At 37.5% G+C, this 25,467-nt stretch overlaps 1 protein-coding gene and 1 long non-coding RNA gene across 90 annotated transcripts in view, besides 2 other annotated features; one reads left to right on the plus strand and one right to left on the minus strand.

The window, feature by feature from the left end:
* The window catches only part of RIMS1 (regulating synaptic membrane exocytosis 1), a 516,596-nt gene that overhangs the window by 481,946 nt on the left and 9,183 nt on the right, over positions 1-25,467 (plus strand). For all 89 annotated transcript variants that reach the window (NM_014989.7, XM_017010517.3, XM_047418419.1 and 86 more), the window contains 2 exons: positions 22,103-22,241; positions 24,203-24,315. In NM_014989.7, coding sequence (NP_055804.2) covers positions 22,103-22,241; positions 24,203-24,315 — 252 coding nt within the window. The remainder of the gene's footprint in view (positions 1-22,102; positions 22,242-24,202; positions 24,316-25,467) is intronic.
* Positions 12,554-14,950, minus strand: LOC107986611 (uncharacterized). Its single transcript, XR_001744197.1, has 2 exons — positions 14,918-14,950; positions 12,554-12,747 (listed from the first exon to the last, which is right to left on the minus strand). It is a non-coding gene; the product is annotated as an uncharacterized LOC107986611 (long non-coding RNA).
* Positions 17,938-18,138: a silencer, noted in NCBI's record as "peak5889 fragment used in MPRA reporter construct". NCBI's record gives its function as "represses an SCP1 promoter by STARR-seq MPRAs in K562 erythroleukemia cells {active_cell/tissue: K562}" and the evidence as "EXISTENCE:reporter gene assay evidence [ECO:0000049][PMID:32103011]".
* Positions 22,219-22,419: a silencer, noted in NCBI's record as "peak5890 fragment used in MPRA reporter construct". NCBI's record gives its function as "represses an SCP1 promoter by STARR-seq MPRAs in K562 erythroleukemia cells {active_cell/tissue: K562}" and the evidence as "EXISTENCE:reporter gene assay evidence [ECO:0000049][PMID:32103011]".

Below are 25,467 nucleotides of genomic sequence, written 5' to 3' on the forward strand. Positions count from 1 at the left end.
GTGTTAGCCAGGATGGTCTCGATCTCCTGACCTTGTGATCCACCCGCCTCGGCCTCCACTTTGGGCTTCTTTGAAGATACATACACAGTTAATGTTATAAGTTTTAGTTACTAAAATTCAGTCACCAGCTCACTCAATGAAGATGCGGTAAGCACGAGTCTTCACAAAGCACTCTGGCAGGAGTGTGTTGAGGGGAGAGATTTAGAAGCATATAAATTCAGATGACAAGTTAGATAAAAGGGAAAGATTTTATTTAAAGTTTATTGCATTAATCTGTTTTCATAGAGTAGTTCATGGTCAATTATTTATTTACAGGGAAAATAATATAGGAGTTCAGAGAGCAGTATCACTACAGCTTAGGGTGGTCACACTTGGTTGTTGGGAAGATGTTTTGAGGCAATCTTAAAGGATTGGTAGGGGAAACACAGGAAGGGACATCCCAAGTAAATGGGATAAGGAAAAGCTTGGAGGCAGAACATGTCAGCTCATACAGAGGAAACAGGATGTAACCAGCTTGGTTGGAGCAGAGGGTTGCTGTCAGGGAGTAGGAAGAGGTAAATATGGCAAAGGTGGTGTGAATCTAGTATGGGAGCACAGTAAATGTTATGGTAGACTAGGAGAGAACCAGTAAAATTTGAACAAGAGATCAATATGCCATCTCTATGAAAATTAAGCTGTTATGGTTGTACCAAGCCAATTGAAATGATAAGAATCTCAATATGGGAAGACCAATTGAAATAAGAAGGGAGGAACAGGTAGAGGAGATAAGGCAGTTAAGATTAACAGTCATGTTTTGATAGTGAGAGGATAGTGAGTGATAGAGAGCAGTGCCTTTACCAGAAATGGGAAGTTCATAGGAGGCCGGTTGGGTCTGTATATCTCAGTCAGATTCTACCCAGTGAAGCAGAATCTGTAGGACATGTATATTAAAAGATGTGTTACAAGAAACTGCCTTATATGACTGTGAGAAGTGGCTAGGCAAGTCTCTAGGGCAGGTCATGAGAGAAGGGTACACTAGAGCTCTCAGGCACCGGCTAAAGCTGCAGTCTGCAGGTAGATTTTCTTCTGTCAGGGAAGCCTGGACTCTGCTCTTAAGGGCTTTCCACTGATTGAATTAGGCACACTCAAATTATCTGAAATAATCTCCCTTACTTAAAGTCAAGTGATTGTAGACTGTATTCACAGCTACAAAATACCTTCACAGCAACACCCAAATTTGCATTTGATTGAAACCCCCAATTAACTGGCAACAGTAGCCTGGCCAAGTTGACACATCAGAAAACCCCAAAGTATTGTAAACACTAAGATGCTGGTAGGATTGCTAGGCGAAAGCAGCCAGAAGTCTATTGGAAATTATGATTTGCAACTCATGAAAGCTATGGAGATTAGAGATACCACCCTGGGAGTTATCCACCTGAAGAGTTAAGAAGATCTTCAGAGAGTTAAGGAGATCCTCAGAGAAGGCTGTAGAACTTCTGCATCAAAGATTAATTCTTGGAAGAAACCATTTTTAAGGGGCAGAAGAAAGAAGAGTTAAAGGGAAAAAGATTAAAGAGCTAAGAAAAGAACTAAAATAGCACATAGTCATAGTTGTTCCTCTGTTTGCTACACTTTCTCCCTGGTTTTCCAAGATTTCCAGTGGGGCAGGGAACACAGCATTGGTTCCCCTGTTTTCCACCTGTATTTGGGGTCCTTGCTACCAAAGTTTCAGAGAAAATTTGACCTGAGAAGAGGCTAGTGGTTTTATTGTGAACTTTGAAAGTACAATTTAAGTAAGATTGTTAAAAGGGTTTCCAAATCTCAGGTATTTCAAGACACAGTAGATAATAATGAATTAGAGGTACAACTGTTATGATTACTTAGTGAAAAGACCATTCGGGACCTTTGCCCCCACAGTCATGAATGCCCTTTGCCTTTCTCATCTGTCTAGCAAGTTATATTTAACTTTCAAATTATAGTTCAAGTATCTCCTCCTCAGCAGGAAGTTCTTTAACTTACCCCAGGAGAGATGCTAACTTGATCCCCTGTCTCATCTCTCACTTAGGAATATTTTTTACTTCTGATTCTACTGAAATAGAATTGCTTATGTGGTTTCCTTCCTCCCCCACCAGGTTGTAAGTGTCTTTTAATTTTTAATCTACAGTGCTTATAACAATACCATTTAAGTGCTGCATATATATTTGGGGAGTGAAGGTATGAATATTTGTACATGTATGGATAGCATTTAGAAAGCAGACATAAATATTTATAAGCAGCTTGTGAAAAAAGAAATTTGGGGAGTACTGGGGCTTAAAGAGTACAAATAAAGAGAATAAAGTAGAGAAGAAAAGGGAGGAAAGGAACTATATGATAGGAATGCTGCAGAGGAAGAGGAGGGATACCTTCTCCCAGTACAGAAAAGGAGGAGAGGTTTGATGTAGAGAAGAATGTAGTTGGGAGGAAGTATGGGAGAAATTTGTCTTCCCATGAAAGTTAAAGACAAACGGATATGAGAAAATCTGCCTTCTCCTAAAAATATGAGATTTTTTATATGAAAAACTTGAAATTTTAAAATTATATTTGTCAACTCTGATCAAAAGCATTTAAAGCATTTATAACAATGAAAGCTATTCCTTTTCTCTCATATCTCTGTGTGTCTGTGTCTGTATGTGTATGTATGTGTGTATGTGTGCTGTGTGTGCACATGTGTGGTCTGGAGGGTCTATTATGGGTGGTTCTTATGCAAATTTATTTAATTGATATTTCACCTATGTGTGACATCCCCCCAGCCATATGCTATCATAGGATTAATTACAAGCGCTAGTAAGTCAAAATATGTCTTTGAAAAAAATTCGTGGATTATTACTCTGGTAAAATAACAGTACTCTCCTGGAGAAACATGATTTCTGCAGATGCTAAGATGTGTAAGCAAACTGTCATCCTGTTTTTCTTTCTAGTAGAGCACTACTTTAAAGTGCTCTACTTAAAAGAGACAACTTTAATTAAGACTTGAAACTTTGTCCATATTTGAATTTTACAGTTTTATGTTTATTTGCATATGTAGTTGAAGTGTGAAGTATACCCTGAAAAGTTGACTAACTTCTCTCCCAAGGACACCAGAAAGGTAGAAGGAATCAGGAATCAGTTGAAGGCCAGAGTTAGGAAGACAGAAATGTAGTTTGTTAGGTCACGTCCTGAAGTGCTGGCCAGCATTCAAGAGGAAGTTAAGAGGCAATGGGCAGGACCCAACCAGTCCCTGTGTAGATAGACGAGCCCCTTAGCCATAGTTCACCTGGTGCCTTTTAAGGGGCAAAGCTTTTGGTAACTTGGAGCTAGAAGCCCTGAATGTGAGTTCTAATTCTGCCATTTACTGGCGATGATCTCAGCAAAATAATTTAACCTCTCTCATCCTTGGTTTCCTCATCCAAAAAACTGAAAATATTTATCAAATAGTGGAATTCTTTATGAATATAATTATTCTACTCTGGGTTGCAGTCTAACCAGGAAACAGTCTAGATCATCTTGGGCTCACAGCAAGTCAGAATGTGGAGTATTAGAATAAAGGCAGCAATCTTAAAGGCTGTTTCAAAACAAGAATCTAAAATACCTGGGCCAAGGATTCTAGGCCTGTGGTTCTAGAAGCCTGTTTGAAATTTCTGGATCAGAATCAGACCTCATAATCTGTGTTGGACAGGCCATAAACATGTGTTGGTGAGAATCATGAATTTTCATGTCAATATTATATTGTGTGTGGTTTCTTGAAAGGAAAATAAAAGGTAAAAGTATCTCATTCAACAATTGAGATTGAAGATATATATTTCCATGGCATTTAACCTTTACAAAATTACCCATCATTTCTCATCAAAATTGTTAATGTACTCCTGAGATAATTATTTTTGCCATGCTTTCTAGGGTTCCATCTTTTTAATGTTTTAAAGATTTTTTTATGTGTTTAACTTAGCAAATGGTAGGTGAAACATTAAAATCTACAAAAATGCTCTTTTTTCCTGAGATTGATTTAGAACTTGACTGCTTATTTTCTTTCCAAAAAATGTGAACTTATTGTACAGAGAAATACAGCCAAAATCAATTTACCAAGAATTTAGAGTAAACAGGGACATACAGTACTTTTCTCCCTTTTGTACCTTTGTAGGGGCAATTTGAAGGAGCATACTTAAGAATTAGGTTTGCAAACAAAATCTCCCTGTTTCTAAGAACATCGGAAAGAACTAAAAGTGGTTTCTCTGGACTGTGTCTAATCTTCAGCGATTGGTTTGCTATTCATTGTTGGGAAACTATATATGGCTGCCGCCAGGTTGCATGACCTGTTACATAACAATTTATTGAAGCAGGGAGATGCTAAAGTCACTGGAGGTTGGACTTGGCCTGTTAAGAGTGTGAACAAATGGAGTGTAACAATGTGTGTGATTTCTGAAACAAACAATCCTGGGAATAAAGGACACAGTCCACTGCTTTCATAATAAGACAATTCTTTTTTAAACAAAATTAAAATTAAAGTTTTATCTACAGTAAAGGTCAAAGACTTAGAAGTGGAAAAATTAAGGCTCTAATTTTCATTGTGTTGGTAAGGAGCTAAGTAACCACAGGCTAAGGGTTTAACCTTACTGCACCTTGGATTCTTTGATCAGACTTTGGATTCCGTCATTTATTTTTAAGGTTTCAATGCTAAGTTTCTGATCTGTTCTATTCTAAAATGGATCAATTTAACCCACCGATAATTTGAATTTCAGGGTTTTCAGCTCAGTGCTTATTTTTAGTACTGCTTTAGTATTGCATAAGCCAGTATTTAATATTCTTATAAATATACTCCTGCTCTAATGAAAAAGTATCAGGTTTGTTTTTACCTTGTGAATTACAGTGTTTTCCTTCTCAGGAAGAGTTATCAATTCCACATTCATGGCCATGTTCATTCATTCCCACTTATTGAAGTGTGGCTGAACCAGAATCAAACATTTTTGTGTGTGATTAACACTGAACACACCTCCTACTCCTCAAATTATCAGGATTGTCATTGTTTATAGTCAATTTAGGACAATGCCTTGAGAGTAATAAGCAAACTGGAAAGAAGAGAGGCAGAAAGTAATTGATTCTGCTAAGGATGTCAAATTAAATTAGAGTCAGTAATACGTTATCATTCTTATCTCACATTTTGTTAACATTTTCATTCATTAAAGCTTAGACATCTGCTTAGGCACATTTTTTTTTCTCCCACAGAATCATTAAATACTGTACTTGAAGTAATTTAGTCAATTCCTTAAGATACAGTAATGCAGTTCTGAAGATTGGTAAACCTTAATCCACCAGATTTTTTCTTCACCAGTATACTTTTTATTGTATTGCATATTTCAAGTTCATGTTCATCTAATTTTTAAAAGATGAGTAGTGAGATGAAAACTAAAGACCTAATTTTATTATTTATTTTTTATTTTTATTTTTTTGAGTTGAAGTCTCACTCTGTCACCAGGCTGGAGTGCAGTGGCGGGATCTTGGCTCACTGCAACCTCTGCCTCCCAGGTTCAAGTGATTCTTCTGCCTCAGCCTCCCAAGTAGCTGTGACTACAAGTACGCACCACCACACCCAGCTAATTTTTGTATTTTTAGTAGACATGGGGTTTCAGCGTGTTGGCCAGGATGGTCTCGATCTCTTGACCTCGTGATCCGCCCGCCTCGGCCTCCCATAGTGCTGGGATTACAGGCGTGAGCCACTGCGCCTGGCCCTAAAGACCTAATGTTTTTAATACTTCATTGTACCAATTCTCACCACCAAACCATTTCTTTTTATGTCCTAAGAGTTTTCTTTTGGTCTTCAGATACGCAACTATGTTTTGTTATTTAGTACCTATTCTAACCACAGTCAGTGGAAAAGCAACCAGTCAGCAGTTTCCCAAAACCCTTAGGGCACACAGGCTCTAATTAAGTTTTTATGCATAAGTTATATTCTTCCCAGTCATGGAATGATTCTTCATTGGTGTCACACAACCTGCCCTCAAATTACTACCAAGGCCTGTGTGGCCAGGCCTCAAATTAGCACAATTTACATTATTTGCCTATTTTCTCTCTTGTCATATCCATACTTTGAGCTAGAGTAGATCTCAGTGCCAGTCTGAAATGAAGTGGTCAGAGTATTTTGCGTTAAAACAGCAGTCAGCAACCTTTTTGGCACAAAACCAGGGACCAGTTTTGTGGAAGACAATTTTTCCATGGACCAGGGGGTAAAGGGGGAGGATGATTTCAGGATGATTAAAGTGCATTACTTTTATTATGCCCTTTATTTCTATTATTATTACATTGCAATATATAATGAAATAATTATACAACTCACCATAATGTAGAATCAGTGGGAGCCCTGAGCTTGTTTTCCTACAACTAAACAGTCCCATCTGGGGGTGATGGGAGAGAGTGACAGATCAGGTATTAGATTCTCAAAAAGAATGCACAACCTAGATGCCTCAGATGCACAGTTCACAATAGGGTTCATTCTCTTATGAGAATCTAACGCTGCCTCTGAGCTGTCAGGAGGCGGAGCTCAGGCAGTAATGCAAACAATGGGGAGCAGCTGTAAATACAGATGAAGCTTCGCCCACTACTCACCTCCTGCTGTGCAGCCTGCTTCCCAACAGGCCACAGACTGGTACCAGTCCATGACCCTGAGGTTGGGGACCCCTGCTTTAAAAGGACTAGCCAGTCAGAATCACATTGTGCTGATGGCCACCCTCACTCTCATGAGCTCTTTGCCTCATCAAGTTTAGCGTTTCTGATTTTCTCTTGGCCTCTCTAATTAATTGATTTTTATCTCTCTTCTTACATTTTACAGAATTTCTCCTGTATTTACTAATAACTCGTTCTATACCTACTAAATAATCTTGATACTTTTTTTCTCCTCTAAAAGCATAAATTACCTTTCTGATCACTCAGTAAATATATAACTTTTTTTTTAAGTTTTCATTACATTTCCTCTAGAATAGGTATGTCAGCTGGATGTTAGAAATTACACTGATGAACTAACTTGTACCAGCCACATGTAGTTAGTTATCATAAATCCAAATAAGCCTCCAATTATGATATAACTAAACAGAGTGAAACATTTCTAGATGATAATATTTTGGGAGAGTGCAGCTACCTTGAGTAGTTATTGCTTTTCACAGTTGAATTTGCTTTTTCTATGATGACAGAATCTCCTAGAGTTGTATGCAGGTACTTCTGGAGGGAGTGGGGCAAGGTTTGGGTACACAAGGGACCCAAACCTGGATTGGATTTGGATTGCTTTGTAACTAAGATATGGCCTGTAGGGGATCTCTGCAGTTTTTGCTGGCTTGCTCCTTGGGAGCTTACTGGTGAAAATGTTTGTAATCTTTGCCTACTGAATTATCTGCCAATAAAATTCCAAATTTCCCTTTTAATAAAATGGAAATGGAATATTTTTAAGTTAGCAGTGGTAAATATCTCTGACCACATTCTTGCCTCTTGGTTTTATAAATGCAAGAGAAAAGAGATGGTTTCTGGTACATCTGAATTTACTTTTTCATGAAAATTCTGAAGTTAGAAAAAAGACTATATGATTTCCAATAAGTTTTGGAGGGACTGACCCTAGCACCCCAATTTTCTTTTAATCTCTTCTTAAATCAAATCTTTGTAAATAATGCTTTCACATTCTATTAAAAATGTATAGAGAAATATTCACCCAATTATGTGAGGATCGTAAACCAGTCATTACAATATGTGCTAGCATACCCTTGTTTTAGTCTGTGAAGTGTAAGTTTTGCTACCCTAAACCTCTGACTACCCTGCTGTCATCCTGCCTCACTTCCATGAGGAATATTTTGTCTGGGTCTATAGATTTTCCCAGTCCCCGGTGTGTTAATGTGAGAATTGAGTCTCCAGTAAGAGCTGTTACTCTTCCACATCTGCTCCTTTCCTTGTAGGCCCCCAAGTCTTCTGAACTAAGGAGAGAAAAAAACTCTATAAAAAAGAAGAAGGGCTGGGCTCCGTGGCTCATTCCTGTAATCCCAGCACTGGGGGAGGCCGAGGCAGGCAGATATCGGGAGCTCAAGACCAGCCTGGGCAACATGATGAAACCCTGTCTCTACAAAATCATACAAAAATTAGCTGGGCGTAGTGTTGCATGCCTGTAGTCCCAGCTCCTTGGGAGACTAAGGTGGAAGGATGACTAGAGCCCAGGAGGCAGAGGTTGCAGTGAGCCAAAATCACATCATTGCACTCCAGCCTGGGTGACAGAGAGAGACTCTGTCTCAAAAAAAAAAAAAAAGAGAATCAGATTTTGCTACTCATATAAGATTTCCCTGGGTTTTTAATCACAGAAATTTATCACAGGTTTTTCAGAGTCTGACCAAAACTCCAAACAAAATTATGCAACAGACTTGTTCTAATGATAGTTCCTTCAAATGGATCAAAATAAAGGATTCATTGTTTACGAAGCATGGGACAGTTTTACGCTTGAGAGATTCTAGGCTTACTGGAGGCCCTGAGCAATAAATGGAAGTACACATTCATATATGCCATTTAAAAGTTATAAACCAAACTAACAAAATGCCAAATAAAAGGTCTTTTAGTCTCCTTCCTTGACAAAAATATCTTTTTAATGACCAAGGAGGTCACATTTCAATTTAGAATTCTCAGGCTCTCCAGAGTTCTGTGCTTGGGCTTGGCTTACCCCACCTCCTGCTGAAACCTGTCACCCACCTTCTTCTGTTCCCAAACCTTGGCTCCGTCCTGTACCTTGAGTGTCCTTGCGCACGTGTTCAAGCTGTGTCCACTGCCACTTGGAATTTAGGGTGTGCACACTGCTGATACTATCCATCCTCAGGAGAGTAAACCCTAGAAAGACATCTGGGCTAGCTCTGGGATTGGATGCAGGGCCATTGAGGCAGGAAATTCTAGGATTCCATGGATCTGAAGGTTAGTTCAGAAGGGAACATGGGCTCTGAGTGGGCATGGACTCTGGGTGGGCACATCCTCTTGGCCCCCTCTTGGTCTATGGGACAGGGAAGGCTATATGCTATGTGAAGAGGTAAGATAAGAAGAGGGCAGAGCAAGACCCTTGAAAGCAAGAACAGAGTAGGGCCCCAAGCAGAGGTTTGAAGGCCAAACTGATACTATCTTTTCATAGTGTCTTGAACATAATATATTCTTATAAACTGCCTGTATTGATTAACTAACTCACTGATTCCATCTTTGTGAATTTTTATTTTATATATACAGACATATATTCATCTTGTTCTTAGGAAATCATGGCCAATCCTGATATGATCAATGTATACAACTAAAAGATGTAAAGGAATCAAAATTCCTCTTTACACAAACTTTGCCTTTAGGAGATCATCAAACTTATTTTATTCTTTCCTTGTAACATTTAACTACTTCATATGAACGATATTAATGTTGACTTCTCAGTAATGGTCGTGTAAGTTGTTCTAAGTGTTTACCTCACCCATCCTTACAAAAGTATACTTACACATGCTGTCTGCCTCTCCATTGTGAATTGGGAAAATCATAAGCACTCAAGAATAAATAAATACCTGCTCTGCTGTTGTTTCAAGGTACATTGAGTCCCCCAACAGGAAACTGCCCAATTATCCCTTATCACCCTACCATTTAGAGTACCTGATGCTGTGATTTTGATTTTCAGTGTGGGGGCTTCTTTAGTGATAACTAATTACATATGCCACATCTCTCCTAGATCAATTGTACTTCTGTTTCAGGTTTTCTCAAGAATTGCTGCCTATCTCTTTAAGTTGCCCTGCTGGGTCTCCCAACAGGAATTTCACAATACTGCATAGCTTCTATTCTAAATCAAACCACCCCAATTTTGATGAAAATCCATCTAATTTATTTTGTGGAATGTGGTAAGAAGTACAGAGAATCTATTCCATTTTACAGAATATAGAAAACACTTTTTCTTAATTTTCTTTGTGACCTAAAACCCTCTCTTCTATCTATAACTTGTGCAGTACAGTCATTTCCACACAATAATTAAGAACTTCATACATGTGTGTTTGTTTCAGAATATTAAACTATTAGAAAAGGACACCTCAGGGCAGGTGTAGTGGCTTATGCCTGTAATCCCAGCACTTTGGGAGGCCAAGGCGGGTGGATCACCTGAGGTCAGGAGTTCACGACCAGCCTGGCCAACATGGCAAAATTCTGTCTCTACTAAAATAATAATAATAATAGTAATTAGCCAGGCGTGGTGGCAGGTGCCTATAATCCCAGCTATTCAGGAGGCTGAGGCAGAAGAATCGCTTAAACCTGGGGGATGGAGGTTGCAGTGAGCCGAGATCATGCCACTTCACTCCAGCCTGGGCGACAGAGTGAGACGCCGTCTCAAAAGACAAGAAAAGAAAAAGAAAAGGACACCTCTGTTTATTGTACCCTGTGGGGTGCCATGAGGGTATTTAATAAACGGTGTTTATTGCTAGAATCTTCCCCTCTAACCCAATATTCTCTGAGACTTTGTGGGGAAGAAAAATTTCCATTAACTCTCTTATTAGAAGAGGAGCCTTATTCTTCCAGACATGAAACTGTAGAGGACTAAAATGTTCTATCTGAAGCTACAGAACTGAGAGTATTCTTTATTATTCCTAAAACTAATTTTATTATTTCAAAAATCCACACTGGGTTTGATTTAGAATATTATCTTCTGTGGTACACGATAGGGTGCTGTAACAAGGCACACACAGATAGTGTTTAATCAAGACTCTTACATAATAGTCCCAGTGGTCATCCCAGTCTGGGCTGTTATGGCGACTCCTTTATGTCAGAGGACTAGGCTTCGCCAGCTTCATCAAATTCTCCTATCCTAGACCCAAAGTAGCTGCTCTAGCTCCCACCATCATGTCCCCATGCCTTCAAGAGCAGAGGAGGGAAGGGAAATGTGGTCAGTCCTTAACTTAGAAGATAGGAAGTTTACCAGTAAAACAAATGGTGAGAATGAATAGATATTGGGGGCACATGTAATTATCTGTGACATGTTGCAGCTTAATTTTACGGCATTCTAAATAGCATTTGGAATTAAATGTGAGGCCCGGAAAGAACATGTGCTTTGAATGGAGCAAGGAGAATTGGCATTATTCTACTTGAAGATGTAATCTGTGCAGAATACTTTGAGATCTTATTCTGTAACAATAGATAACTTTAAATAGGTTCCAGGCACTTTCCTGAGTGCTTTACATGAATTATCTCGTTTAATACTCAACCCTATGAGCTAGGTATTTTGATTCCCCCATTTCATAGATGAGGAAACTAAGGTGTAAAAGGCTCAGTAGGCTGCCTGCAGGCACAGAACTAGTAAGTGGTAGAGCTGGTACTTGAATCCAGGCATTCTGAGTCCAGAGTTGCCCCTCAAACCACTTCTGGTCCAGGCTCCACTTGGAATATTAGTCTGCCTGTTGAGATTGGATAGGAGGAAAGATTCCCCAAAACCTTGAGTTTAAATAAAAGTTTTTAAAAATATATATTCACAATAGCAAAGACTTGGAACCAACCCAAATGCCCATCAATGATAGACTGGATTAAGAAAATATGGCACATATACACCATGGAATACTTGCAGCCATATAAAAGGATGAGTTCATGTCCTTTGTAGGGACATGGATGAAGCTGGAAACCATCATTCTAAGCAAACTATCGCAAGGATAGAAAACCAAACACCGCATGTTCTCACTCATAGGTGGGAATTGAACAATGGGAACACTTGGACACAGGGTGGGGAACGTCACACACCGGGGTTTGTCGTGGGGTGGAAGGATGGGGGAGGGATAGCATTAGGAGGAATACCTAATGTAAATGATGAGTTAATGGGTGCAGCACACCAACATGGCACATGTATACATATGTAACAAACCTGCATGTTGTGTACATGTACCCTAGAACTTAAAGTATAATATATATGTATATGAAACAATGCAATAAAGCATTTGCTTCTTTCTAGGCTTCAACCTGAAGTATTACTTTATTATTATAGTCAGGGTGGTAGACAGTAAGGAGATATTCTAGGTTTATGCTTAGTAAATGAAATCCAGCTTCATCTGAGGTATTAACTTAGACCAAAGAAGAGTAAAGAAAACGAATGTGAAGTAAATGTGCTATTTTTACTACTACTGAGCAAATAAAATCTGAGCCTTTATCTTCCTGTTGTCAAGAGTTGTTAATAAATGATTTCAGTATACTCGTGTAATACTTCAGATTACTTTTTTTTAAAATTGAGATAGGGTCTCTCTGTGTTGCCCAGACTGGTCTTGAACTCCCAGACTCAAGCAATCCTCCCACGTCGGCCTTCCAAAGTGCTGGGATTACAGGCATAAGCCACCATGCCTGGCCTTCGGACCACTTCTTATTTAAGGCAACCTGAAAAACAAGTCCATTCCAGTATTTGGGGCTTAATCTCATCCTCAGACAATTTAGGTGATTATTTATCCCCACATGCTTAAAGTATCTCAATCATCACAATTATTAAATAACATGATAAAATAATAAAATCCACTCCCTAAATGTGTTTATTTACTAGGGCTGCTGTAACAAAATGCCATAGACTGGATGGCTTAAAGAGCAGATATTTATTTTCTTAACATTCGAGAGGTCAAAAGCTCATGATCGATGTGTCAGCAGGTTTGGTTTCTTCTGAGGCTCTCTCCTTGGCTTGCTGTTGGCCACCATTTTGTTGCGTCTTCCTAGGGTGGTCCCTCTTGTGCCGGTGGCCCCTGGTGTCTCTGTGAGGCCTGATCTCCAGCTCTTATAAGAACACCAGTCAAATTGGATTAGGGTCAACTTTAATGATCTCGTTCTAACTTAATCACTGCTTTAAAAGGCCTTTTCTACAACTACAGTCACATTCTGAGGTACAGTGGTTAGGGCTTCAACATGTGTTTTAGAGGGACATAATTTAGCTCCTAACACTAGAAATACTTTGGAAACATTGAAGCTGTGAAATCAAACAATTTACACGAGTGAGAAGTTCAGCATTTGGATGTTTCCCGCTCTCTTATCTGGCTTTAGCCAAAATAAGAGGTAGTACAGATGGTATGTTTCAGTGTATACAAATCTCTTTACTTAAATATTTTTGGGCAGCCTTATTAAGTTTAATATGAAGATTATTTAAAACATACGAAAAGCCATGTTGAACTTGCTATTGTTTATACTTTCAATAGCTCAGCGAATGGAAAAAACAAAGTTATGTTAGCTAACATTTTGCTGAAAATGTAAGTGTAACTGAGTGATTTAAGTAGATCTGACAGGCAAGGCTTTATAGTCAATCATAGCAATACCAGGTTTTTAATGAAAGAATAGCTATTAGCCATGGAAGAGCTGAAAATAAAAATAAAGGTCAATGTTCGAACAGATGAATCCTTTTCTGAAGTAGTATCTGTAAATAACTTAAAGTACATTGTAACAAAATAAAACATTTTATATCTTTTGGGTTAGGGAAATGCAATAAAAGTGGATAAGTACATCACTAGGAAAGATTTGAAATATTCTCTTGAAGGAAAATATCATCAAAAGAATGATTCCATCTATCTCACAAAAATACTCAGAATGATACTGTTTTTAGTTTCTTGACCACTGTATTCTTTCATTAGAAATATCTTTGGAAAATGGGAAAATGGAAGGAAAATAGTGGAGTTTATGACTGATAGGATTAACCTGGAGAATAAGTGAGAGAAAATGAGGAAAACAATGAAAGCCAAAGAACCTTGTGCCATTTTCTAAAAATAATCCTCCAACCTATGAAATTTTTACAAGTTGTACTTATCTGGCTTAGGATAAAATATATTCAAAAACCTTGGCACAACACAAAAGGAACATTTGTGTTTATTTGCTTAAATACTAAAGAAAATGATGGCACTATTAGGGAAGACTAATAAAAAATTCCAACTATATGGTTACCACACATTGGAAGCATCTGACATCAACAAAGGAGAGCTGCTGCATATTTTCTTTTAAATAATAATTGTTGGAGATAGATGACAATATTACTATATTATATTGCATGTAATACAAACTACACACAATTGTATATGGGTAAAATTGTATAAGGAAGACCAGGACCTTGAGATTATTAAGGATAGCATTAATAACACTACAACATCAGTTCAAATGATATGTCACTGTGCACCCTGAGGGCCTTAGATAAAAGACCCTCCAGTGTTTACTTCTCTGGCTTCACACCTCACTATCTTCAATCACCATTAAATTAACTCTGGTGATTCAGGAAATGTAGTTAACTCGAGGGACCATACTCTTTCTCTTCAGGACCTTTACCTATGCTGCTCTCCTGGCTTGAAATACAACTATACAATTCCCTTCCACCCTGCCTCCATCCGTCCTCTACCTCTACACAGAGTTAAAATTTCCTGTGAAAATCTCTTAAATAGCAATCTACAGTCTCTCAATAAGTCCAATACTGTCTGCTTTTACACAGTTTGACTACATTGGTGCTGTTTTGTTTAAATCCAGATAAAGCCATTGGCTTGCTTTTAGGCAGCCTTTTTTTAGAAATCTTCATAAACACAAGAATTATCTTGAGGAACTGAAACAAAGAAGAAGATTTGCATTTCTCAGCTCATGATCTCTCCAGTTTACATGCTCATTAAGTGGCATTGCAAGCTGCGACTCACACTCACTGCTTGAATTATTCTCTCCCCTTCTCTTCTTCTCTTCATATCATTGAATTTACATAACATAAATACATAAAGTTAAATACATATAAAATAAACCCACTGCACAGCACTTATACCACATCACAATGAGACTTTTACTTGTCTATGTCTCCTTCTAGACTATGAAATGGTTGATGGGTTTCTTTCCTTTTCACACTTACATATACAGTATTGGGGCACAAAGCACTAAGGAAATAGTTTGTTGAATGACTAAAGGACAAAATGAACAAGTATAATATACTAACCACAACAATTTTTTTTAAACTGAATTTTCAAGTTCTCACTGCGGTTCCACAAAAAGAAAGAAAAAAACAACTGAATTTTGGCCAGGCACAGTGGCTCATGCCTGTAATCCCAGCACTTTGGGAAGCTGAGATGGGAGGATCACTTGAGGCCAGGGGTTGAAGACCAGCCTGGGCAACATAGCAAGACCCCATCTCTAAAAAAAAAAAAAAAAAAAAAAACTAAAACAATTAGTCAGGTGTGGTGGCATGTGCCTGTAGTCCTGGCTGTTCAGAAGGCTGAGAGGAGAGGATCGCTTGAGCCCAGGAGTTTAAGGTAACAGTAAGCTGTGATCACACCACTGCACTCCAGCCTAGTGATGGCATAATCATAGCTTACTGTGATCTTGTTACTGAGACCTAGCAAGACCCTGTCTCTTAAAAAAAAAATTAATTTTTACAAAATAACTGAATTTGTCACCTCAAAAATAAAAAAAATATATTATTTCAGAATAACCAAAAAGGTTATACTTACTTGATACTTTGTTTTTGTGAGTTAACAAACCATTATTGCATTTATTTTGGACCTAAATTGCTTAATCAGGTGATACTCTTTTATTGATTTTTCCAATTAATTGATGGAGTTGGATAGTGTATCCAGTTCCATCAGAGACTGCTTTGGCCTCAGAGACTGCTTTGATTGGAAGATGATTTATCTGATGTTATCTATCTTTATACATCTCTCCAGCCGATAATGTTAAGTCTAACAATGTGTTTTTCCCTGTTCATCTAATTATTCCAATCTACATAGAAACAAGCTCTACTACCACACATCTTAAAGAAAAGGACAACCTCCCCTAATACTGTGTGACTTTCCAAATACTACCTCTCAATCACAACAAACCTTTACAAAATAGTCATAGGAGCTGTCTCTATTTACTCACCTCTCATTCCCTCTTCTGACTGGCCACTCCTTTCAGGCACCTAATCTTACTGCTTCACTGAATCTACTCCTCTCAGTCAGTTATCTCCATGAAGCCAAGCACTGTGGTCACGTCTATATTTTTTTCTTACTAAACCTCTTAAGTAGTAATCAACATTATTTTTTTAGTTCTTGACACACTTACTTCTTCTGATTTCTGTACCATTGCACTTACTGCTTTTCCCCCACCTTAAAAGGTCCTCCTATTCAGCCTCCTTGACAGTCCTGATTTTCTTCTGTACCTCTAACTGTGGGAATATTCCAAGCTCCATTCTCTTTACTCTTTATGTGTATTTCCTCCCCAAGTTCTTATATTTACCAGCATAGATTTTAATTGTATCTGCATGTCAATATATTCTATCTCTCTATCTTTCTAGCCTTGACCTGTTTCTCATGGTCCTAACTTAAAAATACATGTTTACTGTATTCCCTATTCTATCTTATTACTGTTGTATCTGAAACACCTAGAACAATGCCTGTATCATAGGTTCTTGGTGATTAATGAGTATTTATAGAATGAATTAATAAGTCAGTGGATGTTTCTAAATATAACACATATCTCTAAATAAGCAAAGAGAGAAAGAGTTCACCTGTAAATATGACATCTTTTGGAATACTCTTTGAGAGAAAGTTTGCCCTTCCGGAACACGGGTGAAATATTGCCCCCAGACATTTTGGATTTTAGTAATTTTTCATGTGACTAGAGAATATTAAAATGCACTACTTTTCTAATCTTTTTTATTCTTAATAGAATACTTCAGATGGTGTTCACAAATCAAAGGTTTCATGTCATAATTTGTAGTAGACTTTATGTCTTTATAAGGTTAATGATTCTTCAATGGATACAAATAATTAATAACGATGGCATTCCTAAAAGCATAAAAGCATTTTCTAATATTGTATATATTTTAATGGACTATATTGACATTAAACATATTACATAGATGTAACACATATTTGTTATAATTACAGTATATGTACATAGATGCAGATAATTATACATTTGTGCTTGTATAGAATATATGTGCTTTTTAACAAACTTTTACAAACTAACTTGTAAAGCCATATGTGAATGTATACATAAAAATACCTGTGTAGATAACCATTGTTCTATTTGCAAAATAAATAAGACCAGACTTTACATTTTCCTAAAATGTTGTATAATGGAATGATTGCAAGACTAAGATTTAGAAAGACAGGTTTCTAATTCAGCTTTTGCTGCTAACTAATGTGATGTTAAGCAAGTCATTATATCCACTAGAATGTAACCTCCATTGGGGCAGGGATTTTGTCTGTTGTGCTCATTGCTGTATTACCAGCATCTGGAAAAGACTGGACCCAGAGTAAGGGCCGAACGAATTTGTTGCATGAATTCTGTTTCTCCAGATTTACAGTTTCCACATCTATAAAACAATGTTTCTTCTAATCCTCACATTCCAAATTAATATTGGGACCCTTATGAATTTAAACAAGGCAAATTTAAAACTAGAACTGTTTATTGAGCTTCTGCCTGGACCTTTATATTGCTTAATCAATTGAAGCTCTTTTCATGAATATTTATTTATATGAATAAGACAACAGTTAGATGTCAGTTCATCTGCCATCTTCATTCAGCAGGACTAAAACAAAAACTTTAATATTAAAAATATTCAAATTCACAAAATCAAGTAAATATAAAAGAAAATTCAATAACTAGCCCCTCAAATGATATTTTTCAAGCATTTGTGTCCTTTACACCGTGGAAGCTATTAAAGTTTAAAACTGCTGTAAGAATTTTGAGACACCCTGTAGATATACCTTTCTTTAAGAAAACTTGATATCCCAACTAAAATATACAAATGAATAAAGATTATTCACTTTTAAAGTTTTTCTTTTCAGTTTTCATTTTCATTTGTCACCAAATATGTAATGAACAACAATCATGTGAAACCTGTGTTAGATAATGCAAGATAAGTCAGTTATTGACAGTCTGCACTTCACCGTCATCTGGACTGCCAGCAACACACAGAGCCTGAGATCACTGGTGACAGAGCCTCTGGGTTGGAGTCAACATCGACATTACAAAGACTGGAGAGGAAGCCTGGGGACCTGTGCACTACTTGCAAGACTGCAGCCCTCCCCTTCCCCTCTGCCACAGCCACCATTACTCACAGCCTCCCGTCAGCAGGACTGATCCCCGCAGTGTACTGCTTCCCTCTTTCCTCATAGCTTGTGTCGTCACTTCCCCCTGCCCTGCTTAATCAGACCCTGGCTCCTTTTCAAACAAAATAATTCCCGCTCTACCTCATCACTCTCTACCCCTCTCATCCTGCCTAATTTTTTCCCTATCAGCGATATTGTATCTTCGTTTCACTGTCTTTCTTTTTTTTTTTTTTTTTTTTGAGATGGAGTCTTGATCAGTTGCCCAGGCTGGAGTGCAATGGCCCAATCTCTGCTCACTGCAAGCTCCGCCTTCCAGCTTCACGCCATTCTCCTGCCTGAGCCTCCCGAGTAGCTGGGACTACAGGCGCCCGCCACCACACCTGGCTAATTTTTTTGTATTTTTAGTAGAGACAGGGTTTCACCATGTTAGCCAGGATGGTCTCGATCTCCTGACCTCGTGATCCACCCGCCTCGGCCTCCCAAGGTGCTGGGATTACAGGTGTGAGCCACTGCGCTCGGCCTATTCACTGTCTTTCTTGTATACACACGCAAACTAGAATCTACGCTCCTTTAAAGCAGGAAATTTCTCATCCATCCATATATCTCCAGCACCTCGAGCAGTGTATGACACATAATAGATGCTCCATAAATATTTGTAGGATAGATGAATGAACAAAAAACAGAATGAACTAACACTCTAACCTGAACCCGCCATATTGTTGATCCTCTTAACTGTTTCTCCTCCAGTTTTCAGCAGCACCTCACCGTTTAGATTTAATGTTCCTGCAATTTCTCTAGCCATGATCCTCGTGATTTTCAATAACTGGTGTTCTATGCAGATTTTATTATCTCATGCTGTCTTGGATAAACACTTGTAATTCATCTTGGCTCAATACTTTGGTAATATACCCCTGGGGCTTACCCCTGTCCTTTAAGTGAGATCTGGCCAGTATGTGGCCATGAGTGGCCACTGCTCTACCATAGTGACTTCACAAATGAATTACCTCTAGAAAGGAATCAACATATAAATGAATAAATACCAAAACTAAACTAAACAGCATTTACAATGGCCATAGATGAAGTCCCTGCCTTCGGTAAGTGTGCACGTTCCACAATGACAAGTCAAGTGGACAAGACAGAGTCCAAAAAGGGGATAGGAAGAGAATTCTTGAGCCATAGGTAGGTAAGTGGGAACATCCATGTGACTCTTGGTAGGAGTATAAATCACTACAATGTTTCTAAAGGGGAATTTAGAAATAGCTATTTAAATTAAACAGATTCCTACCCTTTCAGTAGCATTTCAACTTCTAGTAATTCATTCTGTAGAAGCTCTCCTATAACAACTGGAAATATCCAATAGCCCATCAATAAAGAGATGGTTTAATGATGAACCACATAGTCATAAAGTGGAATAGTGCAATCTTTAAAAAGAATAAATATATACCTGTTTGTGTTACATTATATTAAATGGAATGTGAAAATTGCACATTAGTATATGTGGTGTGATTTCACTATCAACAGTTTATACCCCTGTTCTAGATACGAGGAATAACAGTGAACAATACTCACAATGACCCTGCTCACATAGAAATTAAATTCTAATTGGAAAACAGACCACAAACAGATAAAGGTTTAATGGCAGATGAAGCAGTGCTGTGAAGAAAAATAAAGCACAGCAAAGGGATACTATACAAAGCCTCCCTGAGGAGACAGCCTGTCTTGAAGCAGAAATCTGAATAAGGAGCAAGGCAAGAAAGTCAGAAGAGACAAACAGAAGTAAAAAAGGCCCAGAAGCAGCATGCTTGCAGGCTTGAGGAAATGCAGGGAAGACAGTGTGACTGGAGAGCATTGATCATATGGAATGAGGGGCAGAAGATGAGATGTGAGGTGTCCAAGGACCAGATGATATGGCATTTCCTGGGCCACGATAACAATTTTGGATTTTCATTTTACTTTGGTGATTAATCATTATAAGATCTTGAGCAGGGGAATGATATATTCAGATTTACATTTTTAAAGACTCACCATGGCTGTTATGTCAAGAATATTCTGAGGAGGAAAGGAATAGAAGCAGTGACACTAGCTGTACGGGTATGGCACTGCTCTTTTGAGTGATGATAGTGTCTGGACATAGGGTTGGAGCTGTGGAGAGGAAGAAGAATGACCAGACTTGTGATGCATTTTGAAGGCAAAGCCAAGAGGATTCGCTGATGGATTGGGTGTGGGGTGTGTTAGAGGAATCAAAGATGATTACAAGGATTTAGGCCTTATCACCCAAGTGAATTGTAGTACCATTTACTGTGGGAGGAGGATTTAGTAGTGGGAGGTGGTAGTGTGGTGGAGGTGGGGAAGAGTTCTGTCTTGGATATGTTAATGTTGAAGTGCCTATCAGATCTGTAAATGGAGCTACTAGGCAATTGGATTAATGACTTCAGCATTTATGGGAAAGGTTAAGACCTTGATGTATATTTGGGAGGCACAAGGGCATAGGTGGCTTTGTTAGCTATGTTAAAGCTATGTTAGAGATCACCTAGGAAGTAAGTGTAGAAGAAAGCAAAAGGTCTGAGGCCTGAGGTCTAGGGATTGTCTATTTCTAAAAATCTCAAAGAGGAAAAATCCAGCAGAAGAGACTGGGAAGTAACAACCAATGTCAAAGAAGGAAAAACGGAGAATGTGGATCACAGTAGCCAAGTGAAGAAGCTTGTATAGGTATAAAGAAAAAATAGTTCCCAAATTACTAACCATTGTCTTCCTTGAGTGGTGAAATTATAGGGGGCATTCAATGTTGGCAATTTCTGTAACATTTAAATATTTTGTAATATACATATATTGTCTTTGTAAGCAAAAATAGCAATAAAAAGGTTAAGAACAATAAAAAATAAAAATTTTAATGAACATACTAAATGTGTAGGAAGGATCAGCATTAAGTTCATATAGCATAACCTATTATATCTTTGATTAGACAATTTACAAAAGGAATCCAGTGACCAAAAATGAGAGGGAAAAAATGCAGTGTTTCAAATGGCTTATCTAAGAGTGTATTTAGGTACCTGCTTTGTAAAGGTTTTATGTGGATTGAAAAGTTAATGTGTTTATATAGTAGTTATGTATGTAATTATGTATATAGAGCATTTTTCATATATTATTAATGGGTATTATATGATACTATACAGAAACTAAAGCGAAAACCAGAAATTTATATAGGACGTATAGATGGAATAAAGTCTAACAGTTTTCCTAACCTATTGATACTGCTTATACATGTAAGCAAGTAAATATTTTAGAATTTATTTCCATGCTATGAATAGAATGCTGGTTAGTGCATTTCAAAGTGGCTCAAGAAAATTCCTCTGAGCTTATCAAGAACTGAAATGCAAATGTATGTAATTCCCAGTACAAATGGAGGTGTACACCCCAAACTGCCAGTCAGAACTCATGCAGCTGAGTCAAAAGGCCATGAGGTAGCTGTGTAGTCTTTGAATTAAGATAAAACCTGTTACACCTAACTCCATAATCTATATGGAGTAGAAATAAGTATAAATATTATATAGTGTATGTTAAAGTGCTGCAAAAATCATCAATTAAAATACTAGTTTCTCTTCATGAGGATTGCTGATACGTGACAGTAAAACTGTGGTATTTTTCAAACTGGGTTCCAAATGCACCTTCTCCTTAAAAGAACACGACCTGTCCTTTGGGACTATTCATACACATTTAGTGAATTCCGTATTAGGAGAAACCTATTAGATTGTTCACCATTATCTTTCCACAGAACAGTTGGGTGCCAAATTCAGATTTTCATTGAAGTTGTCACCATCAATAATACAATGATTTCATTTTGGCTGATTGAGATTTAGGCAGTCACTGAAACTGTGGCCATGGCATAGCATCCAGTGGTACTCCCCTTAGCCAAGCATACTTTGGCAAGGAGCCTGAATCAAGCAAAGTACTCCCTTAGGTTACTATTTTTCTGATTAAATTTGTAATTATGTGTAAAATTAACTATTGTATTTGCAGGATCAATTGATATTCAGGAGTAAACTGTCTAAATAAAACTTAGAGTTTCTTTTACTCTCTCCTGTCAGAGTCGGGCCACAAAAAGTTAAAAAGTACCATCCAGAGAAGCACAGAAACAGGCATGGCAGCTGAAATGAGAAAGATGGTAAGGCAGCCGAGCCGAGAGTCTACTGATGGCAGCATCAACAGTTACAGCTCTGAGGGCAAGTAAGTGCTGTCAGCACGTCTGCATGGCTGTGGAACCAGGAATTGTGTACTAATCAGTAAGATAACAAAGCCACTGAGTGTTACTGTGCAGCTTCTCTATTTAATCAGAAGTTCAACCATCCATTTTAAACCACCCTGATGGCTTATAAGTAAGTACACATGGACACACCTCTACACCTGGTCATTCATACCTTTCAAAGGGTGAAGAAATTCTGAGTCCACATGAACAAATTGATTTCTTGCATCTAGGAAAGCCCAGACTAGTTCCTTACTGGATGTTTAGTGTACAAATGCCACAGGTAATGGACTCTTTCATATGGGAAACTCATAGTCTGTCCCTGTCACCAAAGTCCAAGTTAAAATTTATAAGTAAGGAACTGATTTCCCATTTTCTTAATTTTCTCCAAGCTATTTTGGACCCTAAGCTTTTCTAAGTCTAACACTGTCATATATGTAAGTTACATTTTCTTGTTTTTAAAACATTGCTGACTCATTTTTACCTTAGGAAATAATCCAGGGTCTATCAGCTTCATTATTTTTCTGACTAAAATGTTTTAGTTAATTCTGAAAAAATAGAATACGATTTTTAAAAATTTACTCTTTTCGATTCTTTTTCTTTTTTTTTTTTTTTTACCATTTCATATGGATCCTGCACAAAACCTGCTTCTTCCTATGCTTGAGAATATTTCTGGTAAAATTGAATTTTTATTGAGGTAGTGGATCTTACAAATAAGTAATTAATGTGTTGTTTTGGATTACATGGAGATTCACCACATATAAATTTTCCATAATTATTTGTTCATTACCATTCACATTACTCATATACCAATTTGATATTTCTAATTTCTTGTCTTTACTGGAATTTTTCTATATTGTTTAGAAAATTTAACAGAATTATGCCAAGTTACTGTTTGTGATATTCCTTCCCATTCCTGAAACTAGTTGGTCTCTGTTTAGTTGGTCAAATGATTGGCTTGTTATGCATGTTTCCAGTAAGGAATATAAGAACAAAAATCAGCAGGTATGAAAGTTACAGAGATAAACTTACTGACAAAATACCCATATTTGATGAAGTAGCATAAAGTAATATACAAATGAGACTTGAACACATCATTTTCTGATATAAAAAAGTAACAAATAAAATTTGCCTCCATCATAAACCATTTAATCTCTTGGATTTATTTTCATGGTCTCTGGATGGGATTATAATCTGTGTCCCATTTAATTTCCTTGGTTAAAAGAAATAATAGATGTGAAAGCACAATGGAAAGAGTAAGTCTCTATAGAAATATGCTCATTCAAAAAATGCTTATTGAATGCCTATCACATAATGAGCATAGTTGTCATTACCCAGTGATAACTACATCAGTCAACAAGAAGAGAACAGGCACTGCCCTTGTGCAGCTTACATCCTGGGGCTATCAGGAAGTTGTATTATAGGAAGAAATACAGATTTTTTAACCAATTAATTTCCATTGGAACCAAATAAAAGTCTCAAATAATTCATCTTTGAATCAATTAAATGTTTATAAATAAGAACTTGAACTATGTTATAACATTTATTCAAGAAATTATTGGCCACTTTAAAAATTTAGCATGAATGTTACCTAATGTTCATGAGCAAGTATCTGTGTGAAGTTTATGATATAAAAATTCGCATCTTATGTTTTTTTGTCAGCAACACATTTATATAAGGATTTGGAACTTGGTATATTAAAAACTATAACTGAGCCCTCTTGAATAGAGCATTAGGTGTTAAATTGAGAGTTTACACCTTTCCTCAGTCAATGTTAAGCCTCATATGCTTGGCTCAAAGGCAATGCAAAGAATCAATTAAAAAAACAGATTGTCTAAGTAATATTTATGTTTCATGATCATAATTAGTCAAGTGGAAACTAGTGAAAAGAATTCTAGAAGATTTCATGGGTTTTTTCCTTTGGTTTTTATCCTTTTGCTGATAGTTTAATATTTCCTGGAGTGCGACTGGGAGCTGACAGTCAATTCAGTGATTTTCTTGATGGATTGGGACCAGCCCAGCTTGTTGGCCGCCAAACCCTTGCCACCCCTGCAATGGGTAAGAATCATTTTTTTTTTCTACAAGAAAATTGATGTTTTGTGTTTGACAAAGTCATTTAAAATATTTAAAATTGTGTAATAGCAATACAAGTGAGAAGCAACATTTTAGCTACAGAGTTACTGTTTGCAAACAACTATTCTAATTTCAAGTGCATTTTTCTAATTTGAGATGTTATGAAAAAAGAAGTAAAATTAGCTATAAATATTTGAATTACCAGAAACCCTGATATAATAGATGTAAATGTAGGACATGGGTGGCATTTCACAGCATGGAAAAAAAAAAAAAAAGACTGTTCAGTAAAGTATAGTAACATAACTATTTACCTGTGTGAAAAAATTAATGGAATTCCCTCACGCCTACACAACTTACCAAAAAAGTTAGTATTTTAGACTCAACTATAAAAAAGAAAAGGGAAGGTGGAGAAAAACACTAAAAAGTACTGGAGAACACTTAAGTTAATCTGTCTGTAATCTTGCAGTGGGAAAGAACTTCAGCAAAATGCATGAAAATAGATCAGCTTGAAGACACAACATAGTGGAATTTCACAATACTGAGGCTTGATAGAAAATCATGCAAGCTTCCTAAGAGGAAAAATAATTTTACAAAAAAACTATCAAAAATCAGATTCTTGCCGGGCGCTGTGGCTCACGCCTGTAATCCCAGCACTTTGGGAGGCCGAGACAGGCGGATCACGAGGTCAGGAGACCGAGACCATCCTGGCTAACACGGTGAAACCCCCGTCTCTACTAAAAATACAAAAAAAATTAGCCGGGCATAGTGGTGGGCACCTGTAGTCCCAGCTACTCGGGAGGCTGAGGCAGGAGAATGGCGTGAACCCGGGAAGTGGAGCTTGCAGTGAGCCCAGATCAGGGCACTGCACTCCAGCCTGGGCGACAGAGCGAGACTCCGTCTCCAAGAAAAAAAAAAAAATCAGATTCTCATTGAGCTCTTCGTATTTTCATTGGATTCTTCAATATACTGGAAGCCAGAAGACTGTTAGCATTACCTTCAGAATTCGGAGGAACAAGAGATTTCCAACCTAGAATACAAAAGCCAGCCAAACTATCAAGTAATTTTGAGGCTACAGTAGGTACATACTCGGCCCCAAGCAAGGCCTCAAATCATTTTCCTCATTTCTAACATTTCTCA

The sequence above is a fragment of the Homo sapiens genome, chromosome 6 (assembly GCF_000001405.40).
Source record: "Homo sapiens chromosome 6, GRCh38.p14 Primary Assembly".
NCBI classification, from domain to species: Eukaryota; Metazoa; Chordata; class Mammalia; order Primates; family Hominidae; genus Homo; species Homo sapiens.